At 36.3% G+C, this 23441-nt stretch overlaps 1 protein-coding gene across 3 annotated transcripts in view, besides 1 other annotated feature; it reads left to right on the top strand.

Annotated features, from left to right (window-relative positions):
- RPAP3 (RNA polymerase II associated protein 3) overlaps positions 1 to 23441 on the top strand; it is a 44782-nt gene that overhangs the window by 11742 nt on the left and 9599 nt on the right. For 2 of the 3 annotated variants that reach the window (NM_001146076.2, NM_024604.3), the window contains 7 exons: positions 3650 to 3771; positions 5094 to 5164; positions 6288 to 6413; positions 7382 to 7509; positions 12472 to 12593; positions 14515 to 14585; positions 14695 to 14796. In NM_001146076.2, coding sequence (NP_001139548.1) covers positions 3650 to 3771; positions 5094 to 5164; positions 6288 to 6413; positions 7382 to 7509; positions 12472 to 12593; positions 14515 to 14585; positions 14695 to 14796 — 742 coding nt within the window. The remainder of the gene's footprint in view (positions 1 to 3649; positions 3772 to 5093; positions 5165 to 6287; positions 6414 to 7381; positions 7510 to 12471; positions 12594 to 14514; positions 14586 to 14694; positions 14797 to 23441) is intronic. The other variant, NM_001146075.2, reaches the window with a different exon arrangement.
- Positions 21967 to 22116: an enhancer, noted in NCBI's record as "active region_6256". NCBI's record gives its function as "activates an Ori minimal core promoter by ATAC-STARR-seq in GM12878 lymphoblastoid cells {active_cell/tissue: GM12878}" and the evidence as "EXISTENCE:reporter gene assay evidence [ECO:0000049][PMID:35858748]".

Raw genomic sequence — 23441 nt, 5'->3', positions numbered from 1 at the left:
TATGTCATGTTTGCCGAGATCACTTTCTCATCTCTGTTCTTTACACTGGTCTGTTGCCTGTCCTTACATCCATTCCACACTATCTTTAATTATTATAGCATTGTAATTGTAAGTCTTAATATTTAGTGTACTGCATATTCTCCTACCTTTTATTATTCAGGAATGTCTTGGGTATTCTTGGACTTTTACTCATCAATATAACTTTTAGAATCATCTTCCCAAATTCGTTAAAATATCCTGTTGGGATTTTGATTAGAATTGCATTAGATTTATAAATCAGTCTGGAGAGAATCATATTGTATGTTTTTGTACTTTATTATAGATGAATGTGAAATATCTCCACTTAGATTGTCATTAATGTCTTTGAAAACAGTCTTACAATTTTTTGCATCTGTGTTTGGTAGGTCTTTGTTAGATGTTTTGTTTGTTTGTCTCTTGTTGGTCTCTCGTAGTCACCTTACTAAACTTGTAATACTTCCAGCAATGTCTCTAGATTGTTTTGAGTTTTCTTTTTGGACCATCTTATCATTTGAGAATAATTTCAGGCCTTTTTCTTTGTTTCTAGTCCTTGTGTTTCTTTCTTGTGGAACTGCATTGGTAAAGACCTGTATGTAATACCAAGAAAAAGCAGTGATAATGGGCATTCTTGTTTCTCTCATTAAAGGGAATGCTACTAATGTTTCACCATTAGGAATTATAGGCATACCTTGTTTTGTTGTGTGTCGCTTTATTGCGTCCACAGATACTGTTTTTACAAAACGAAAGTTTGTGGCAACCTTATATCAGGCAAGTCAAGCAACTCTATTGGTGCCATTTGTCCAACAGCATGTGTTTACTTTGTGTCTCTATGTCACGTTTTGGTAATTGTTGCAGTATTTCAGATTTATTATAATTGTATCTGTTATGGTGATCTCTGATCAGGGATCTTTGATGTTTCTATTGTAATTGTTTTGGGGAGCCATCAAGCACACCCATATGTTGTTGTGCATTCTGTCTGCTTCATTGACCAGCTACCCCCGACCCCCCATCTCTCTCCTTCTCCTTGGGCTTCCCTATTCCCTGAGACACAACAGTATTGAAATTAGGCCAGTTAATAACCGTACAGTGAGGCCAGGCATGGTGGCTCACACCTGTAATCCCAGCAATTTGGGAGGCTGAGGCGGGCGGATCACTTGAGGTCAGGAGTTGGAGACCAGCCTGGCCAACATGGTGAAACCCTGTCTCTACTAAAAATACAAACAATTAGCCAGGTGTGGTGGCGCATGCCTATAATCCCAGCTACTTGGGAGGGTGAGGCAGGAAAATCACTTGAGCCCAGGAGGCAGAGGTTGCAGTGAGTTGAGATCATGCCGCTGCACTCCAGCCGGGGCGAGAGAGTGACGCTCTGTCTCAAAGCAAACAAACAAACAAACAAAACCCTACAGTGGCATATAAGTATTCAAGTGAAAGGAAGACTTGCAGATCTCTTACTTTAAATTGGAAGCTGGAAATGATTAAACTTAGTGAGGACGGCATGTCGAAAGCCAAGACTGACTGAAAGCTAGGCCTCTTGTGCCAGTTAGCCAAGATGTGAATGCAAAGGAAAAGTTCTTGAGGAAATTAAAAGGGCTACTCCAATGAACACAAATAATTAAAAGCAAAAGAAGCTTATTGTTGATGGGGAGAAGGTTTTATTGGTCTGTATAGAAGATCAAACCAGCCACAACATTCCCCTGAGCCAAAGTCTAATCCAGTGCAAGGCTCTAATGCTCTTCAATTTAGTGAAGGTTGAGAGAGGTGAGAAAGCTGCAGAAGAAAAGTTGAAAGCTAGCAGAAGTTGGTTCATGAGGTTTAAGGAAAGAAGCTGTCTCCATAACATAAAAGTGGAAGGTGAAGCAGCAGGTGCTGACGGAGAACCTGCAGAAAGTTATCCAGAAGATCTAGCTAAGGTAATTGATGAAGGTTACTGTGTTAAACAACACACACATTTTCAGTGTTGACTAAACAGCCTTCTGTTAGAAGACAGTGCCATCTAGGGCGTTCACAGCTAGAGAGAATGCCTGGCTTCAAAGGACAGTCTGATTCTCTCTCTTGTTAGGGGCTAATGCAGCTGGTGACTTTAAGTTGAAGATAGTGTTCATTTACCATTCCAAAAGTCCTAGGGCCCTTAGGAATTATGCTAAATCTACTCTGCCTGTGCTCTATAAGTAAAACAACAAAGTCTGGATGACATCTATTTATGAACTGGTTTACTGAACATTTTAAGCCAACTGTTGAGACCTACTGCTTAGAAAAAAAGATTTGTGGGAGGCCGAGGCGGGCAGATCACAAGGTCAGGAGATCGAGACCATCCTGGCAAACACGGTGAAACCCTGTCTCTACTAAAAATACAAAAAATTAGCCAGGCGTGGTGGCGGGCACCTGTAGTCCCAGCTACTTGGGAGGCTGAGGCAGGAGAATGGCGTGAACCCGGGAGGCAGAGGTTGCAGTGAGCCAGATCGTGCCACTGCACTCCAGCCTGGGCGACAGAGCAAGACTCTGTCTCAAAAAAAAAGAAAAAAAAAAGGATTTATTTCAAAGTAGTGTACTGACAGCGCACCTACTCACCCAAGATCTCTGATGGAGATGTACAAGGACATGAATGTTGTTTTCATGCCTCCTAACACAATATCCATTCTGCAGCCCATGGATCAAAGAGTCATTTTCAATTTCAATTCTTGTTATTTAAGAAATACATTTCACAGGCTATAGCTGTCATAGATCGTGATTCCTCTAGTGGATCTGGACAAAGTAGATTGAAACCTGGAAAGGATTAACTATTTTAGATGCCATTAAGAATGTCCATAATTCATGGGAGGAGGTCAAAATATCAGTGTTAACAGGAGTTTGGAAGAAGTTGATTTCAACTCTTATGGATGACTTTGAGGGGTTCAAGATTTTAGCGGAGGAAGATGTCACCGAATTGCTGCAATCTTGTATTCAAACTTGAATGGATGGTCAGTTGATTCTTATGGATGAGCAAAGAAAGTGGTTTCTTGAGATAGAATTTATTCTTGGTGAAGGTGCCGTGAACGTTTTTGAAATGACAACTGAAGATTTAGAACATTATATAAACTTAGTTGATAAAGTGGCAGAGTTTGAGAGGATTGACTCCAATATTGAAAGAAGTTCTGTTATGTAAATACTATCAAATAGCATCACATGCTACCACCACCACCGTGATCGGTCAGCAGCCATCAACATCAAGGCAAGATCGTCCAACAGCACAAAGATAAATATTCACTAAAGACTCAGATTTTATTAGCATTTTTTAGCAATAAAGTTTTTTAATTAAGGTATATACATTGTTATTTAGACATAAAGCTTTTGCACACTTATTAGATTACAGTATAAATAAAACTTTTGTATGCACTGGAAAACCAAAAAATTTGTGTGACTAGCTTTATTGTGACATTTACTTTCTTGTGGTGGTCTAGAATCAAACCCACAATATCTTTGAGCAATGGCAGTATTGCTTTTATTATGCTTAATTAACTGAAAGCAGGTGGGAAAAATGCCTTCAGTGGGTAAGTAAATTCTCTTTTCAAGGATTTCAGAAACAAATTTTGAAGTTTTGGTTTAGTAAATTAGTTTTATTAACTTTATTTATTTTAATGTTTTTAAATTGCAGATTTGCTGTTGCTGAGTCTGATTGTAATTTAGCAGTTGCCTTGAATAGAAGTTATACAAAGGCTTATTCCAGACGAGGTGCTGCTCGATTTGCTTTGCAAAAATTAGAAGAGGCCAAAAAAGGTATTTTCTAGTCACTCTCTAAAGAATTCTTTAACAGTGTTATCTCACAGATGCTATATGGAGAATACTGAGTAATCACAGTTACTACCTTCAGAGAGCTTTCTGTATTTGAACAAAGGTCATTTTTGCAACTGAAATGATATCTTGATGTTTTTAAGAAAGAATGCATTATTTGCCACCAATCAGAATTTGGTTCAAATTCTCATGTTACTAAGTACTAACTATGTGACCAATATCTCCTCTGATTTTCAGTTTCTCATCTGTAAAATAGGCATTAATATGTCTTGTTGGCTTTAGTGAGGCAAGAGGTAGTGTGTTTAAAGCTCATAACACATTTTTGTTCACTTATAAATTCTAAGCCTTCTATTATTTCATAAAATAGGTTTGTGTATTACAAATCACAAAATCTGAATAAAGCTGATATTTAATTGGATTTTGCTGCTGCTTAGGTTTTTTTTTTTCTTTTTTTTTTTTTTGAGACAGAGTCTTGCTTTTTCACCCAGGCTGGAGTGCAATGGTGTGATCTCTGCTCACAGCAACCTCCGCCTCCCGGGTTCAAATGATTTTCTCTGCCTCAGCCTCCCAAGTATCCGGGATTACAGGTGCCCACCACCATGCCTGGCTAATTTTTGTAATTTTAGTAGAGACAGGGTTTTGCCATGTTGGCCAGGCTGGTCTTGACTCCTGACTTCAGGTGATCTGCCCACCTCGGCCTCCCAAAGTGCTGGGATTACAGGAGTGAGCCACTGCGCCCGGCCTGCTTCTTGGTTTTATGATATACAACTTATGATAGCAGGTATCCTTCCTGGGGCTGGTGGAAGATGGTTTGTCATAGGATTTTGTCTGCCCTGGGGGGAGAAGAAGAAAGTTCAGTGGCTTGGCTCTGCACAGTGGCTTACGCCTGTAGTCCTAGCACTCTGGGAGGCCAAGGTGGGAAGACTACTTGAGGCCAGGAGTTTGAGACTAACCTGCCCAATGAGGAGAAAACCTGTCTCTACTAAAAATACAAAAATTAGCTGAACTTGTTGGCGTGTGCTTGTAGTCCCAGCTACTCAGGAGGCTGAGGTACAGAATCACTGGAACCTGGGAACTGGAGGTTGCAGTGAGCCAAGATTGCGCCACTGCACTCAGCCTGGGCAACAGAGTGAGAATCTGTCTCAAAAAAAGAAAGTTCAGTGGCCTAATGATAGTATTTCTTTGTTTCTCCTTTATTTTGCTGTAGGACAGTTGCCTGATTGTCACAGGCAACAAAAGATTGTTTTGTACATGTTTTAAAATATTACCTATCTTTAAAAATTTTTTTTATCTTCTCTTTTACTTAGATTATGAAAGAGTATTAGAACTAGAACCAAATAACTTTGAAGCAACAAATGAACTCAGGAAAATCAGTCAGGTAAACTATAGTTATTTAAATTAAGTGTATTATGACCTTTATTTGAAGAAGTAAAGCTTTTTGCATAGATTTTGTACTATAGATTTCTTAATATTGAGATTTTCTAATTTTAATTCTTTGTACTATAGAGTTTTACTAAATGAATTTGCATGCTAGAGGGAGTGTAATGGTATTTAAAGACCCTTGATTGTTCTAGAAGTTGCCTGAGATCTTTAAGAACTACTGCTGCTTTACTCTTTCTCAGATGACAGAATTATTATTTTTTTATCCCACTGATTTTCTTCCTTTTTGGCTTATGCACTGACTGAAACATTGAGAGAAAAGTGACAGTGATTGGGGAAAGTGTGCTTTTAAATATTACCACTACTATTGCACATAAGATCTGGTAAATATGTTAACTTGATTATAGTTGTGAACTGTATTACATATGTTTAAAATTTTGCCTTAGGTCAAATAATGACTGTGAATATTGAATTTGAGAAGTTTGGTGATGTAGTTGTAATGAACTGTTATGTCTGAAAACAGCTCCTAAAACAGTGTCTGGCCCGTATAGAAATTCAATAAATATTTGTTGAATAAATGAGCAACTACTTTTAATGGATGCTACTTATTTATTTATTTAAAATAATTCAACTTGTATTTTAGATTCAAAGGGTACATGTGCAGGCTTTTTACATGGGCATATTGTATGATACTGAGGTTTGGGGTATGAATGATTCCGCCACCTAGATAGTGAGCATAGTACCCAATAGGTAGTTTTTCATCCCCTCCCCTCCCCACCCCAATGTTTCTCTCCCCAACAGGTAGTCTATAGTGTCTGTTGTTTCTGTTTATGTCCATGTGTACCCAATGTTTACCTCCCACTTATAAGTCAAAACATGCAGTATGTGGCGTTTGATACTAATTTTAATTGAAATGAGAAGCACATTAAATTTATTATATGCTTATTTTACTTTTTACTTTAATAAGTAGAAAGATTTTGAATTAGAGCAGAAAATGTTATTTTGATTATTTAAAATGTGGCAGAAATTCTAATATATTTGAGGTATTTATGTTTTAAGGTCAAATATATATGCATCTTGCATTACTTTGTTTTATTTTAGCTGACTGCTATGTCTCCTAGGCTTTAGCATCCAAAGAAAACTCATATCCAAAGGAAGCTGACATAGTGATTAAGTCAACAGAAGGAGAGCGAAAGCAAATTGAAGCACAACAGAATAAGCAGCAGGCCATTTCAGAGAAAGATCGGGTAATCCAAAGCTATTCCAACGTACAATGTATATGTTTTGCTGAGTGTTGATTTATTTCTTGTATATCAGTTAATTTCTTTCTTCTCTAATATTAAAGTTTTGCTTGAGTAGGAATTGGGAATTAAATGCACTAAAGCCTCTGGGACCTACTAATTCAAAATTTGGGTAATTGATGACTTTATATATAAATTAAAAAAATAACTATAGAAACACTTAAGTTTAGGAAACTACTTTTGAATGTTTTATATATTTACATATACATAGTTATAAATTTAACATAGAAGTTAATTACAATCCATTCTTATAATGTACTTTTTTCATTAATTCACACTGGACTGTTTCTGATTGAAATTCCTCTACTAATCATGAGTTGAGGTTTAGTTTATTTATTGCCTTTCCTGGACCCACAGAGGATTCCTAATAAATATTTATGAAATGATTATTGATTGTGATATTTGACTGATTATAAGTAAATGTTATAGTGAAATCAGGTATACAAATTCCAATACAGCTGAATTTATCTTATATTTGGGCATATTAAAGTTATTGAAGAGTGGGCTTTATAATTCTGGTACTGTATTCTTTCACAAAATTTATTTGAGTTATGAAGTCCTTTTGTACAGCTTCTAATGTAACTTAAGACAGTATATTATTTGGACCTTTGTTAAAATAGGTTTTTAAATTTAAGCTTTGCGTAATATGTAATTAATGGAATAATAGTGAATGCTGCAAAGTAATGTAGTATACATGTTTTTCCTTTTTAGTACTGAAAAGAGAATAATGCCATTAAAAAAGAAACAACCCAAACCAACAGATTTTAAAACGTGTCTCATGGGCCAGATTTTTAACAATATTCTTTCTTGAAATACTGTTGGTGAATATCCTTGCAGTGTTTCATAAGATTTGAATTCATTTATTTTTTTTGAAATTTTTTTTTTATTCTCCATATCTCTCTACAAAATAACAGGGGAATGGATTTTTCAAAGAGGGGAAATATGAAAGAGCAATTGAATGCTATACTCGAGGGATAGCAGCAGATGGTGCTAATGCCCTTCTTCCAGCTAACAGAGCTATGGCCTATCTGAAGATTCAGAAGTAAGTATTGGTTACATTTTAGTGCTGTTCAGGATAAAAATTTACAATAAATTGGTAAATTTTTACCATAAGTTACCTAACATGCCAATTATGGCGTGTTAGGTTAGCTCACATGCCAATTTATGGTAAATTTAAGTAAGTTAAAATTTAATTTATGTATTTTTGAGCATTTAAATTAAAGTGAAATGAGAGGGGAAAAGTAGTGTGTGTGTGTGTGTGTGTGTGTGTGTGTGTATGTGTATGTGTGTGTTTATGTACCTGTGGTATACATAGTTCCAGGCACAAGGTGTGTATTCAGTAGATGTTCTTGTTAATATTTTCCCGCTTTTAAGTCTGGCATTACACAGTTTACCAGTTTTTCTCTAGTCGCTTTATGTATAGTATTCTGGATCTTGATTAAAAATTATTTTTCACTTCAGAGCCCCTTGGGCAAAGTCTTATCTGGAAATGTTTTATATACATACATGTATAACAAAAGAGAACTGCTGTCATTGAAACTGCTGATTAATAACATATGTAACAAACATTTGATCCTATATTAACCAGCTTTTTCTGGTTGTGCCCAAGTTGGACAATCAGTAGAATTATATCCGATGGCAGAAACTTAGACTTAGACTTTGTTTCTCTTGTTATACTTTACAGACTAATGCCAGAATTTTAAAAAGCCTGTAAATAGTATAAATAGGAATTCGAAACTTCTTCAGTGCCATGAATTCCCCTTTAGCTGTATGTTGAACGCTTCTCAGGATATTTTTAAATGCTTAACTGTACAACTAGGATTACAAAGGAAACCAATTATATCAAAATATAGTTTTGAAAATATTAAAAATTGTGATATAGTAGTATATTTGATTTTTTATTAACACACCTCAAAATGAGAAATTACATTTAAAATACAGGCAAGTGCTGTATTTTATGCTCACCAATATTCAGAATTACAGTACAAATTTAACCTGCTGCTTATTTGCATGTGATTGTACTGTATTTGAAACTACATTTAAAATACAGACAAGTTAATGTTAAAAAAATTTTAAAGACATGATTGTAAGGTTTCAGTAAGGACACCAAATTTTGGGATGATCCTCGACACATCTTCCACGTACTGATCAACAAGCAAGTGTGGATAGGGAATACCTGAAGCAACGTAGATGATTAGATTTCCAATGTGATAACACATGCCTTAGCTCTTTGTCTTCTGAATAACTACTAGGGCAGAGTTGCCCAACAGTTGCCAGCCTTGTCACAAGAGTATCTATAAACCAGACACTGCAATCACATGCAAATAAGCAACAGGTTAAATTTTTACTGTAATTCTGAATAGTGGTGAGCATAAGCAATATTTTGAGATACCAGTAACCGTTATAATGTGATATGGAAATATCTGATTTTTTTTTTTTTTTTGAGACAGAGTCCCCCTCTGTCACCCAGGCTGGAGTGCAGTGGTGTAATTTTGGCTCACTGCAACCTCCACCTCCCAGGTTCAAGCAATTCTCCTGCCTCAACCTCCCAAGTTGCTGGGTCTACAGGCATGCGCCATGACACCTAGCTAATTTTTGTATTTTTAGTAGAGATGGGGTTTTGCCATGTTGGCCAGGCTGGTCTCAAACTCCTGACCTCAGGTGATCTGCCCGTCTCGGCCTCCCAGAGTGCTGGGATTACAGGCAGGAGCCACCGCGCCCGGCCAAAATATCTGATTTTTATTGGTGACAAAGTGATAGATACTATTGTCTGCATTTGTATTTGAAAGATAGCTAAATTTTATTTGAAGTTTAGTGAAAACAGTGATACAGTTTTTTTCCTAAACAAGTTTCCACATCCCTCAGACAATCTCAGGTTAGGAGCTCCTGTCATAGAAATAAATTCTGATTATATATTTAACCTCATTTAAAGTAATAGATATCACTGGAGATAGATTCTTTTGTTGACTAGTCAGAGTGAAGATCATTGCATCTCTTGCTCACTTATGAAAATTTTGATTTTTGCTATCGAAGAATTGTGCATTGGTTTAAAAATTGTAAAGCCTGAGTTCGTTGGTTTGACTAATGCTAAGAGTAATGCCTTCTTACAGGTGAGAGATTATATATGCATTTATAAGATATCTAATTTATTGTATCAGTTTTATTTCTTTAGTTTATAATCGTATTAGTGGAATATATTATACCAAGTTAGCAGAGTATATTTTAAATTAAAAGAACTTATGACTCTTACTTGTATCTTTTCCTAGTGTATCTTTTAGATTCACAGTTAATATCAGAATTTTTTTCTGTACATGGAGACTGTTGTTATGTATTACGGACTATGTGAGGAACATAAAAAAGCAACATTTCAAGCTTAGACTACTCCTAGTTTAGGTAACCATCCTATAGCTTGAGGTTCTATAAACTGTGTCAAATTAGAGCTAATTAGAACCAGCAGTATAGTCAGTCTTACCTACCAGTGTGCGGGGTAGCAGTAGGGAGTAAGAAGAAATTCACCTAGTTAGGCCAACCGGGATTCCTAGAGAATGTGCTTTCTGGAGGTGATAGTCTAAATTAGTAGTTTGCATTGGGAGATGAGCAAGACATCCTTGAGTTACAATAATGGAGTGCCTGTGAGCTGGCAAATTGTGGAATGTAGGCTGGTAGATGGTTAGCTTCAGAAAGGCTGAAGAAATAAGAAGATAATCAGAAATAAGGACAGAAGTTTGGGCCAACATTGTAGTCCTTGAAGAGGACTGACCAAGAACAAATCTGAGTCCTATTCTTAGAGGGAGTAAAGCATAGATTTAGAGATAGGATAAGAAGAAAATAACCCAGTAGTATTAGATATTAGATTTGGGAAACAGGGTTGAGAGTTGGTCACAAAAATAAGGTAGAATCTTGGTTGCTGGAACTGGAACCAGACTAAGACTTGATTTAGTAGAGGGTGGTTCACTTAATGGTGATTAGGGGCGGCATTTACACTAGAGCCAGAGTAGACCTAGGGCAAGTGGACCTGACTGAAAATCAGAAGGAATCAGGGCTAAGGAGCTAGGCAGAGATGATAGTTTTTCGCACTCACCATTTTTATTCTATTTTTGATTAGTTTGTCTTTTTCTCCAACCACCTAAAAGATGTTTGTTGATTGGATTTTTCTAAATTCACTTTACAAATGGAGTGCACAGGAGACGTGTAATAATTTTAAAGGACTTAGGTGAGTCTATTTTCAAAGAATAATCGTCTACCTCTGTGGCAACTTCAGACTTTTAGAAAAATTGTTGGGTTTTCTTCAGCTGTACAGTAGAACATGCAATTAAATATGCAATTAAATATACAATTAAAATGATTTCCTAAACATTTATATTCTAAATTTTCTTTGAATTTGGGTGTTGGAAATTTTTTGATTTACTTATTCAGCAAATATTTATTGTGCTAAAATGTATCAGGTGTTCTGTGAGGCACTGTGGAAGGTATTAAGTATACAAATATTAAATGTATAGTTGTTTTTAAGAAACCCGAAATTTGCAGGGAGTGACAGAAAAGGAGACCAATATTTGTGAAAATACGCTAAGATAGCGCTATGAAGGACACGTGCTATAGGAGTTCAGAGTGGGAAGAATACTGGCATAGACTGAGTCCAGGCAGGGGAATTCCTGGAAAGCATCTTGAAATTGTTTAGGAGTAGTATGAGTTAGTGAGGTGAAAAAACAGGAAACAGGTCAAGTGTTCTAGTGCAGGTTCAAAGACGTGGGAGTAGGCAGGTTGATGGTACCTCAACCTGGAAAGGGTGAGTGGTTCGTATTATGGCTGTTATTGCAGGGGACAGTGGCAGAGAGAAGGCCAGATACTCAGGCAGGCCCCTGACTTTGCGCTCCAAAGGAATTGGACTTTATCTTGAAAAGTATGGGGGCCATGCAGGTATCTTGAATGATATAATCAGGCAAGTAGAAAATAACATTGATAAGGGCATGAACACAGATATATTCTTTATCTCTTGCTGGAAAGTGAGTTAAATAAATCAGAGATGTTTAAGTTCATTCGAAATTCTGATTTTTTTCATATGAGATTTTGTTTTGAGGGCAAGATGACATCCATTTAGGCCTTGGGGAGAATGCAATTACAGGAGTGTTTTTTTTTTTTTTAATATTCTTATGAAACTTTTCAAACTTATACAAAAGTAGTATAATAAACTCCATGTGTCCATCATCTAGTTCTAACAAGCCATACTTTTTTTGGTCATATTTGTTTCAGCATTTTCCCCCCGAATTATTGTAAAGCAAATCATAAACATTATGACGTTTATTGCTAAAGAAAGGATATTTTATACATAACCACAACCATTAGCACTCCTAAGAAATTAACAATAATTCATTAATGTCCTATTAATATATGGGAATGTCTGAAGTTTTTTTGTTATTGGGTTTTTTTGGTGGAGGGGGTTGAGCTCTTCTTAAGCACCTTGTTGTTGTAGAGCAGTAATGAGTAAGTCTGTAAGTCTGAATTGATTGCTGGTTGCATGGCTGAGTAGAATTTATGCAAAGTATTAGATGATATGCTATCACATTCGTACCAAGTTCTCATTTTTTTGTTTTTCTATGAGTATGGGAGGTTTACTGTGGGTAAATGTTAATAAAGTTTTATTAGAAAACTAATGCCAGTCAAAATTCTAATGTAATACCTGTGCATATTGAGACTTGGAGAAGAGGTAGGCAGAGAAGCAGTGGCATTCTTTTGTCTGCCCTAGTCATATTTTTGCATTATTATTTCATCGCTCCAGCAGACTCTCCTAACATTCCCTCAATCTGGTACCTTCTCCCTCCTCACCAAATGATTCCAGGATTTGGTGAGAATAAAAAATTTATAAAATAGTTCTCCACTTCAAACACAGATTTAGAAGTTAGTGATTGAAATTATATACAAGCTTTTTAAATTAGAAACTTAGTTTATATGACATTTTTCCATAAGCTGCCTTTTTTCCAGTCAGTAATTTTATCATGTTCAATAGATATGAAGAAGCTGAAAAAGACTGCACACAAGCCATTTTATTAGATGGCTCATATTCTAAAGCTTTTGCCAGAAGAGGAACTGCAAGAACATTTTTGGGAAAGCTAAATGAGGCAAAACAAGGTAAGACTTTATAACAGCTGGCACTCAGTCATCCTGATGAGTGCCCAAGTTAAAGAAGCAGAGATTCATGTAGCTTACCCATGGTTCAAAGATACTGAACTTAGGGAATTATGTTTTCTTTCCACAGTTTAGATCACGAATAGATTTGGAGGAATGCAGCTTCCGCAATGTACCAGATTATCTTTTTGTTTAGTAGCATTCTGGCTAATTTTGTTTAGTACATTCTGGCTAATTGCCAGTCAATATTAATGAAAAATTTTAATTATACATGAGAATGGAAAACGATAAAAAGACCAGAATGGAAAGGAAGGGAATCGGTGTTGTTGAGCGAAAGGGACTCACTGTGTGATATGCTTGAAGCCAATACTGTGACATCAGGTTTTTGAGAAAAGGCTTTATTTATATTGAAAGTTGACTCCTAAAGAGACAGGAATCAAACCCAAATCTGTCTCCTTGTCCTGGCCTTAAGGCAGTAATTTTATTAGAAAGGGTTTAGGGAGGTGGATACTGGAATTAGCAGGTAATTAGTGGAAGGAAAGGGAAAAGTTCTTGGGCATATGTAGCTATCTCTTCTTGCTAACTAATGGGATTGCAGGTGCAAATTTGGGGTAGTTAGTAGAACTTGGTGGAAATTCAGTTTGTGACATCAGCAAACTCGTTTTTGTGCAAACTCCACTTGGCCATCTTGGTTCCAAATGATTTCAGCCTGTTTTTTTTTTTTTGTTTCGTTTTTTTGTTTTTTTTTGAATCCCAGTAAGCAGAGGAAGTTTCTTTGTTTCAGCAAGTTGTATCTTTTCCTATCTGCCATCCTACAAACTGAAGAATTTCTGTTAGTGATTGATTTTTTTTTTTTAAAAAACTCTTCGGGCTGTGGTTTTATCAGCAGGTAGGGAATGGAGGATAATGGAGATCTGATACCATTTTAATTCTTGATACTATTTTTTTTCTTTGTTTTTATGGTCTTCTCTTTTAGGGTATTCATTGAATTAGTCTTTTCAGAGAACCAACTTGGTTCTCCTGTGTGTGTTTTCTATTTAATTTCCTTCTGCTTTTTATTTTATTCCTTCAACTTTCTTTTGGTTTAATTTGCTGTTTTTCTAGCTTCTTGAGATCAGTACTTAGATAATTGATTTTCAGCCTCTGTTCTTTCCTGGTATGTGCATTTAAAATCTGGCAGTTTCTCTATAAGCCTGTTAGCTACAGCAGTGTTTTTTTTATTGTGGTTAAAAAAAATATGTAACGTTAAATTTATTATTTTAACCATTTTTCAATATATAGCTCAGTGGCATTAAATACATTTACATTGTGCAGCCATCACCACTGTCCATCACCAGAACTTTGTCATCATCCCATTCTAAAACTCTATACACATTAAACAATAACTCTCCATTCTCCTCTCCTCCCAGCCCTAGTAACCTCCATTCTACTTTCTGTCTCTGAATTTGACTGTTCTAGATATCCTATGTAAGTGGAATCATGCAGTATTTGTCCTTTTGCCTCTGCTTATTTAACTTAGCATAATGTCCATGTTGGAGCATATATCAGAATTTCATTCCTTTTTAAGGCTGAGTAATACTTTGTTGTATGTAATTCTCTTATTCTATTAATATTTTACATTTAGTGAGTTACTCTGTCATTTGTTTACATGGTGAACTTTGCTAAGTTAGATGACCTCTAGGGGCCTCAGTTTTATCACCTTTAAAGTGGGGTTGTAGTGAGGGTTACGTGAACATTCATATAAAACAACTACAACAGTGTTCAGTAAATGTTCTTACTATAGCTCACCTGTTTCCTAGTAATCTGAGTAAAACTGCTTGAGCTAAAAATGTGATTACTAACTGAATATATCATGAATATACATGCGAATATGAAAACTCCACATTTTAACTATGTTGTAATGTTTTTAAAAAATTCGCTTTAGATTTTGAAACTGTTTTACTTCTGGAACCTGGAAATAAGCAAGCAGTAACTGAACTCTCCAAAATTAAAAAGGTAATGTATTCTTTTCACCCAAACATGGTCATATTTTCTGAAACATAAATATATTTATTTGTTGTATAATAAATATTTTGAAAGTTAGGGTTATAAATTTATTTTCAAGGAATTAATTGAGAAAGGACACTGGGATGATGTCTTTCTTGATTCCACACAAAGACAAAATGTGGTAAAACCCATTGATAATCCACCGCATCCTGGATCAACTGTAAGTAAAGCACTTTCATTTTTTCCTTGCCATTTAAATATGTTGTAATAGGAGAATTGGAAACCAACTATTGTATTAATAAACTTTTTTTTTTTAATTATACTTTAAGTTCTAGGGTACATGTGCACAACGTGCAGATCTGATACATAGGTATACATGTGCCATGTTGGTTTGCTGCACCCATCAACTCATCATTTACATTAGGTATTTCTCCTAATGCTATCCCTCCCCCAACCCACCACCCGCAACAGGTCCCAGTGTGTGATGTTCCCTGCCCTGTGTCCAGGTGATCTCATTGTTCAGTTCCCACCTATGAGTGAGAACATGCGGTGTTTGGTTTTCTGTCTTGTGATAGTTTGCTGAGAATGATGGTTTCCAGCTTCATCCATGTCCCTGCAAAGGGCATGAACTCATCGTTTTTTATGGCTGCATAGTATTCCGTGGTGTATATGTGCCACATTTTCTTAATCTAGTCTATCATTGGTGGATATTTGGGTTGGTTCCAAGTCTTTGCTATTGTGAATAGTGCCTCAGTAAACATACGTGTGCATGTGTCTTTATAGTAGCATGATTTATAATCCTTTGGATATATACCCAGTAATGGGATTGCTGGGTCAAATGGTAATTCTAGTTCTAGATCCTTGAGGAATCGCCACACTGTCTTCCACAATGGTTGAACCAGTTTACACTCCCAGGAACAGTGTAAAAGCGTTCCTATTTCTCCACATCCTCTCCAGCATCTGTTGTTTCCTGACTTTTTAATGATTGCCATTCTAACTGGCATGAGATGGTATCTCATTGTGGTTTTGATTTGCATTTCTCTGATGGCCAGTGATGATGAGCATTTTTTCATGTGTCTGTTGGCTGCATAAATGTCTTCTTTTGAGAAGTGTCTGTTCATATCCTTTGCCCACTTTTTGATGGGGTTGTTTGTTTTTTTCTTGTAAATTTGTTTGAGTTCTTTGTAGATTCTGGATATTAGCCCTTTGTCAGAGGGTAGATTGCAAAAATTTTCTCCCATTCTGTAGGTTGCCTGTTCACTCTGATGGTACTTTCTTTTGCCATGCAGAAGCTCTTTAGTTTAATTAGATCCCATTTGTCTATTATGGCTTTCATTGCCATTGCTTTTGTTGTTTTAGTCATGAAGTCCTTGCCTATGCCTGTGGCCTGAATGGTATTTCCTAGGTTTTCTTGTAGGGTTTTTATGGTTTTAGGTCTAACATTTAAGTCTTTAATCCATCTTGAATTAATTTTTGTATAAGGTGTAAGGAAGGGATCCAGTTTCAGCTTTCTACATATGGCTAGCCAGTTTTCCCAGCACCATTTATTAAATAGGGAATCCTTTTCCCATTTCTTGTTTTTGTCAGGTTTGTCAAAGATCAGATGGTTTTAGATGTGTGGTGTTATTTCTGAGGCCTCTGTTCTGTTCCATTGGTCTATATCTCTGTTTTGGTACCAGTACCATGCTGTTTCGGTTATTGTAGTCTTCTAGTATAGTTTGAGGTCAGGTAGCCTGATGCCTCCAGCTTTGTTCTTATTCCTTAGGATTGTCTTGGCAATGTGGGCTCTTTTTTGGTTCCATATGAACTTTAAAGTAGTTTTTTTCCAATTCTGTGAAGAAAGTTATTGGTAGCTTGATGGGGATGGCATTGAATTCTATAAATTACTTTGGGCAGTATGGCCATTTTCACAATATTGATTCTTCCTATCCATGAGCATGGAATATTCTTCCATTTGTTTGTGTCCTCTTTTATTTCGTTGAGCAGTGGTTTGTAGTTCTCCTTGAAGAGAATTGGATTCCTAGGTATTTTATTCTCTTTGTAGCAATTGTATTATTCTCTTTGTAGCAATTGTAAATGGGAGTTCACTCATGATTTGTCTCTCTGCTTGTCTGTTAATGGTGTATAGGAATGCTTGTGATTTTTGCACATTGATTTTGTATCCTGAGACTTTGCTGAAGTTGCCTATCAGCTTAAGGAGATTTTGGGCTGAGACGATGGGGTTTTCTAAATATACAATCATGTCATCTGCAAACACAACAATTTGACTTCCTCGTTTCCTAATTGAATACCCTTTATTTCTTTCTCTTGCCTGATTGCCCTGGCCAGAACTTCCGACATTGTGTTGAATAGGAGTGGTGAGAGAGGGCATCCTTGTCTTGTGCTGGTTTTCAAAGGGAATGCTTCCAGTTTTTGCCCATTCAGTATGATATTGGCTGTGGGTTTGTCATAAATAGCTCTTATTATTTTGAGAAACATTCCATCAATACCTAGTTTATTGAGTGTTTTTAGCATGAAGCACTGTTGAATTTTGTCAAAGGCCTTTTCTGCATCTATTGGGATAACCATGTGGTTTTTGTCGTTGGTTCTGTTTATGTGATGGATTACGTTTATTGATTTGCATATATTGAAGCAGCCTTTCTTCCCTGGGATGAAGCCAGCTTGATCGTGGTGGATAAGGTTTTTGGTGTGCTACTGGATTCGGTTTGCCAGTATTTTATTGAGGATTTTCACATTGATGTTCATCAGGGATATTGGTCTAAAATTCTCTTTTTTTTGTTGTGTCTTTGCCAGGCTTTGGTATCAGGATGTTGCTGGCCTCATAAAATGAGTTAGGGAGGATTCCCTCTTTTTCTATTGATTGGAATAGTTTCAGGAGGAATGGTACCAGCTCCTCTTTGTACCTCTGGTAGAATTCAGCTGTGAATCCGTCTGGTCCTGGACTTGTTTTGGTTGGTAGGCTATTATTGCCTGAATTTCAGAGCCTGTTATTGGTCTATTCAGAGATTGAACTTCTTCCTGGTTGTCTTGGGAGGGTGTATGTGTCCAGGAATTTATCCATTCCTCCTACATTTTCTAGTTTATTTGCGTAGAGGTGTTTGTAGTATTCTCTGACGGTAGTTTGTATTTCTGTGGGATCAGTGGTGATATCCCCTTTATCATTTTGTATTGTGTATATTTGATTCTTCTCTCTTTTCTTCTTTATTAGTCTTGCTAGTGGTCTATCAATTTTGATGATCTTTTCAAAAAACCAGCTCCTGGATTCATTGATGTTTTGAAGGGTTTTTTTTGTGTCTATCACTTTCAGTTCTGCTCTGATCATAGTTACTTCTTGCCTTCTGCTAGGTTTTGAATTTGTTTGCTCTTGCTTCTCTAGTTCTTTTAATTGTGATGTTAGGGTGTCAATTTTAGATCTTTTCCTGGTTTCTCTTGTGGGCATTTAGTGTTATAAATTTCCTTCTACACACTGCTTTAAATGTGTCCCAGAGATTCTGGTACGTTGTGTCTTTGTTCTCATTGGTTTCCAAGAACATCTTTATTTCTGCCTTCATTTCGTTAGTTACCCAGTAGTCATTCAGGAGCAAGTTGTTCAATTTCCATGCAGTTGTGCAGTTTTGAGTGAGTTTCTTAATCCTGAGTTCTAATTTGATTGCACTGTGGTCTGAGAGACAGTTTGTTGTGATTTCTGTTCTTTCACATTTGCTGAGGAGTGCTTTACTTCCAATTGTGTGGTCAATTTTGGAATAAGTGTGATGTGGTGCTGAGAAGAATGTATATTCTGTTGATTTAGGGTGGAGAGTTCTGTAGATGTCTATTAGGTCTGCTTGTTGCAGAGCTGAGTTCAGGTCCTGGATATCCTTGTTAACCTTCTGTCTCGTTGATCTGTCCAATATTGACAGTGGGGTGTTAAAGTCTCCCATTATTATTGTTTGGGAGTCTAAGTCTCTTTGTAGGTCTCTAAGGACTTGCTTTATGAATCTGAGTGCTCCTGTATTGGGTGCATATATATTTAGGATAGTTAGATCTTCTTGTTGAATTGATCCCTTTACCATTAGGTAGTGGCTTTCTTTGTCTCTTTTGATCTTTGTTGGTTTAACATCTGTTTTATCAGAGACTGGGATTGCAACCCCTGCTTTTTTTTGCTTTCCATTTGCTTGTTAGATCTTCCTCCATGCCTTTATTTTGAGCCTATGTGCGTCTTTGCACGTGAGATGGGTCTCCTGAATGCAGCACACTGATGGGTCTTTACTCTATCCAATTTGCAGTCTTTGTGTTTTAATTGGGGCATTTAGCCCATTTACATTTAAGGGTAATATTGTTATGTGTGAATTTGATCCTGTCATTATGATGTTCGCTGGTTATTTTGACTGTTAATTGATGCAGTTTCTTCCTAGCATCAATGGTCTTTACAATTTGGCCTGTTTTTGCAGTGGCTGGTACTGGTTGTTTCTTTCCATGTTTAGTGCTTCCTTCAGAAGCTCTTGTAAGGCAAGCCGGGTGGTGACACAATCTGTCAGCATTTGCTTGTCTGTAAAGGATTTTATTTCTCCTTCACTTAGGAAGCTTAGTTTGGCTAGATATGAAATTCTGGGTTGAAAATTCTTTTCATTAAGAATGTTGAACATTGGCCCCTACTGTCTTCTGGCTTGTAGGGTTTCTGCTGAGAGATCTGCTGTTAGTCTGATGGGCTTTCCTCTGTGGATAACTCGACCTTTCTCTCTGACTGCCCTTAACACTTTTTCCTTCATTTCAACCTTGGTAAATCTGACAATTTTGTGTCTTGGGGTTGCTCTTCTCGAGGAGTATCTTTGTGGCATTCTCTGTATTTTGTGAATTTGAATGTTGGCCTGCCTTGCTAGGTTGGGGAAGTTCTCCTGGATAATATCCTGAAGTGTGTTTTCCAATGTGGTTCCATTCTCCCCATCACTTTCAGGTACACCAATCAATCGTAAATTTGCTCTTTTCACATAGTCCCATATTTCTTGGAGGCTTTGTTTGTTTCTTTTACTCTTTTTTCTCTAACCTTGTCTTGTCGCTTTATTTCATTAATTTGATCTTCAATCACTGATACCCTTTCTTCCACTTTATCGAATCAGCTACTGAAGCTTGTGCATGCATCACGAAGTTCTCATGCCATGGTTTTCAGTTCCATCAGTCATTTAAGGTCTTCTCTGCACTGTTTATTGTAGTTAGTCATTCGTCTAATCTTTTTTCAAGGTTTTTAGTTTCCTTATGATGAGTTCGAACATCCTCCTTTAGCTTGGAGAAGTTTGTATTACGGACCTTCTGAAGCCTACTTCTGTCAACTTGTCAAAGTCATTCTCCGTCCAGCTTAGTTCCATTGCTGGTGAGGAGCTGTGTTCCTTTGGAAGAGAATAGGTGCTCTGATTTTTAGAATTTTCATCTTTTTTGCTCTGGTTTCTCCCCATCTTTGTGGTTTAATCTCCCTTTGGTCTTTGATGTTGGTGACCTCAGTTGGAAATGTAGAAATCACCCTTCTTCTGCGTTGATCACGCTGGGAGCTGCAGATTGGAGCTGTGCCTATTCGGCCATCTTGGAACGCCCCCTAACTCGTAAAGGAAATGTTGAAATGTCTTACTGGGGCACTTTTTTTTTTTTTTTTTTTTTAGAATCTTTAAAAAATACTTCCTAGGATTACTGATGTATAAGGGAAATTTAGCAGCGTTTAGAGTTTTGGGATAACTTTTTAAGTGAGTATTTTAATTTAACACTATCAATTTAAATATTTCTGCCTATTTCTCTTATATTAAAGGAATTTCAAGCAGTTTTACATTTTATAGAAATTAAATGTCTTTGTATTTTTATTACTGTTCTTTTCTGAAGTTGGGATAAACACCCTTGCATCAAGTAAATTATGAAATATACATACAGAAAAGTACGCAAGACAAATTATAATTTAGAGAATAATTACAAAGTGAACACCCATGAAATCACCGAGTCAGAAAATTAAGACATCACCCCTAAAAAACCTCTCTATGTACCCCTGACTGATCAAGATCCTCTTCCTGCCCTCTTAAACTGTTATGCATAGACGATCCTTTGCATAACAGTTTTCTTCATTAGAAATAACAATTTCATAAGGAAGTCAGAGGAGGTATTTTTATCCTCTTTTTATAAAGGCAGAAAAGGAAAGTTTGTTTTGCTATGTTTGTACTAGTTAGTAGTAGCAAATAGATTTCTTAGTTTAATACTTTTCCAGTGCATTTAATATGACTGTATTCTTTTTTTTTTTTTTTTTTTTTTTTTTGAGACGGAGTTTCACTCTTTGTCCCCCAGGCTGGAGTGCAGTGGCGCGATCTCAGCTCACTGCAACCTCTGACTTCTGGGTTCAAGTGATTCTCCTGCCTCAGCCTCCCTGGTAGCTGGGATTACAGGCACCTGCCATCATGCCTGGCTAATTTTTGTATTTTTAGTAGAGACAGGGTTTCACCATGTTGGCCAGACTGGTCTCGAACTCCTGACCTCAAGTGATCTGCCCACCTTGGCCTCCCAAAGTGCTAGGATTACAGGCATGAGCCACCATGCCTGGCCTATTACGACCGTATTCTTGGTAATACTGGTTGTGTGTGTTGTGTGTGCTAGGCATAAATCTAGTTGTTTTCACACATTATGGTCATTTTCATATATTTATTTACTGTTCTTTTCAGTAAAAGTGATTATTTAATTAAATGTAGTTTAAACTTTTACATCTTTGTAAGACTTCTTTACAAAAATTAATTCACAAGTTTACAGAAGGCCTTTGTTAGACGTCACTGTCCATAATTATAAAGACATTGCCACGTGATATGTGTAATATCCCATGACTAATATACCATAAGTAGCTTTTACAAATATGTTGGGCCCACCTTCTTGTTAAAAATGAATTTATGTTAATAGTTGTGAAAATACAATGTGAATTTAAATCTCTATGGCAATATGACAAAACAAAACACCTCTAGGAAATGAGAAATCTTGGGGTAAACTGTTCTGTAAATGATCCAAAATCAACAAAGTTAGTATCCTAGTGGGAAGGGAAAAAAATTGCTGTTGATTTTTATAATGGATCTTCATGATAAAAAAAAATGTCGGCATTATTTTTAAAAAGTAGAGGATAGCAGTTTGGTATAATGCCTTTGAGACTGGATTTGAGCCCCACTTGATAAACTTTGCAATCTTGAGCAAGTTAGTTAATCCCTGCGTTATCCTTACTTTTTCTCCGTAAATTGAGAATAACTCACAGATTAGTTTATATCAAAGGAAATAATGTGCATAAATGCTGAGGCAATTTCAGGTGAAACAAATTTTAGTTTCCTTTTTAGTCACGTATTTGTGACACCACCTGGTCACCAGAGAAAGTGGTAAGGAAAGAAAGGAAGACTACGGAAAGTAGAGAAGAGAATGAGTCTCAGGATTATTGAAATGAAAGGCTAGGGCAGGGTAGTCTGTGCTTGAAGGGCTGGCAGCTTGGAGGTATTTTTAGCAAACCTCTAGACAGAGGGTAGGAGAGCAGAGATGTAGGTGAACTTGGGCCTGGGGTTTCCCCTGAGAGTGGTAATAAGTGAAAGTTTTCCTGATCCTTTTGTCTCTGCTAAAATATCTTATTTTGCTTTATTTCCTTTTTTTTTCTTCATTTGTCTGTTTCCTGATGTCAAAACTTCACCTGTTTGGTCCCTTTTTCTCTTTATTCCTTTGTTCTTCTCTCTCTCTCTCACTTTTTTTTTAAATGGTCACAATATACAACTAAATAAAATGTTACGCTTCCGAGTCATGATTTTAAAAAAGGAGTGAATTGAACCTTTCATATTTTCTTAAGTTCTTTCTATAGTGGTTTCTTTTATGGTTTACTCCTGTTACTAGCATACTGTTCTTCCCCACAGTCCTTCCAGCTGTCATCAGTGACCCTCAGTGGCTCTCAGTACCCCGGGTCTACACTTAACAGAGACCAATGATTAGGAAATTCATAAATTCAAATCATTATTTACATATCTGTTGTCAAGGATAGGGTTTAATACACATATCCATTCTTGATCAGTATCTTCATAAAAACTTTTGCTGATACAGTTCTTAGCAAAGCATAGGCCTTAACTTAATATGATTATTCTTTAAAATAGAACTGCTTGAAGAATTCTGTTATAAATTTTCTTACAGCTTTTTCATTTTTGTACCTTCGTTTAGTAACACTCATTTATTACCATTGGGGTCATATCTTAGCTGCATTAATGGAATTTCTGGTTTTAACATTGAGTTTGTTATCTATTGCAGAAGAAGAAGTGCTTATATTTACAACTTTTCAATTTATAATTCAACTATGTAGTTGGAATGTATACTTAGAGTACATTGAGGAAAGTTTTCTTCTCTTTTCTAAAGCTAAAACAAATTTCAAACATATACAAAAGTATATAGCTGCAACTGTTAATCAATATTTGCAAATTTTAGAAGAAGCTTTTCTTAACTTGTTTCATTTTTCAATGCCCTTGGTGTAACAATAGCTCCTCAGTGTATTTCTGTGTGTTTGGTATGATGATATAGTGAAGAATATTGTTATATTTTATTAGATATACATATATTATTAAATATCAACATAAGTTGAAAATGACACGTGTGTAGTGATTGAGATAAACAATGAAAGCCATTTATTTTATTAAATTGGAAAAAAGGGTTTACTTTTACCAACTTTGTGAATATTACTTGGCAGATTTTTAATCCTGGGCTAGTTTTATCCAGCTGCTATATATTGAGACAATGTGTTTAGGTTTTAATGATAGTCTATCCCATACATAATGCTGGTTATTGTCTGCCCTTATTCCACTTGCCTTCAGTTAGTCCACAATACTGCTGTTGGTTTGGTAATTTCTTTGCTGTATT

The sequence above is a fragment of the Homo sapiens genome, chromosome 12, assembly GCF_000001405.40.
Source record: "Homo sapiens chromosome 12, GRCh38.p14 Primary Assembly".
NCBI classification, from domain to species: Eukaryota; Metazoa; Chordata; class Mammalia; order Primates; family Hominidae; genus Homo; species Homo sapiens.
This window is presented reverse-complemented; position numbering and strand designations above follow the sequence as displayed.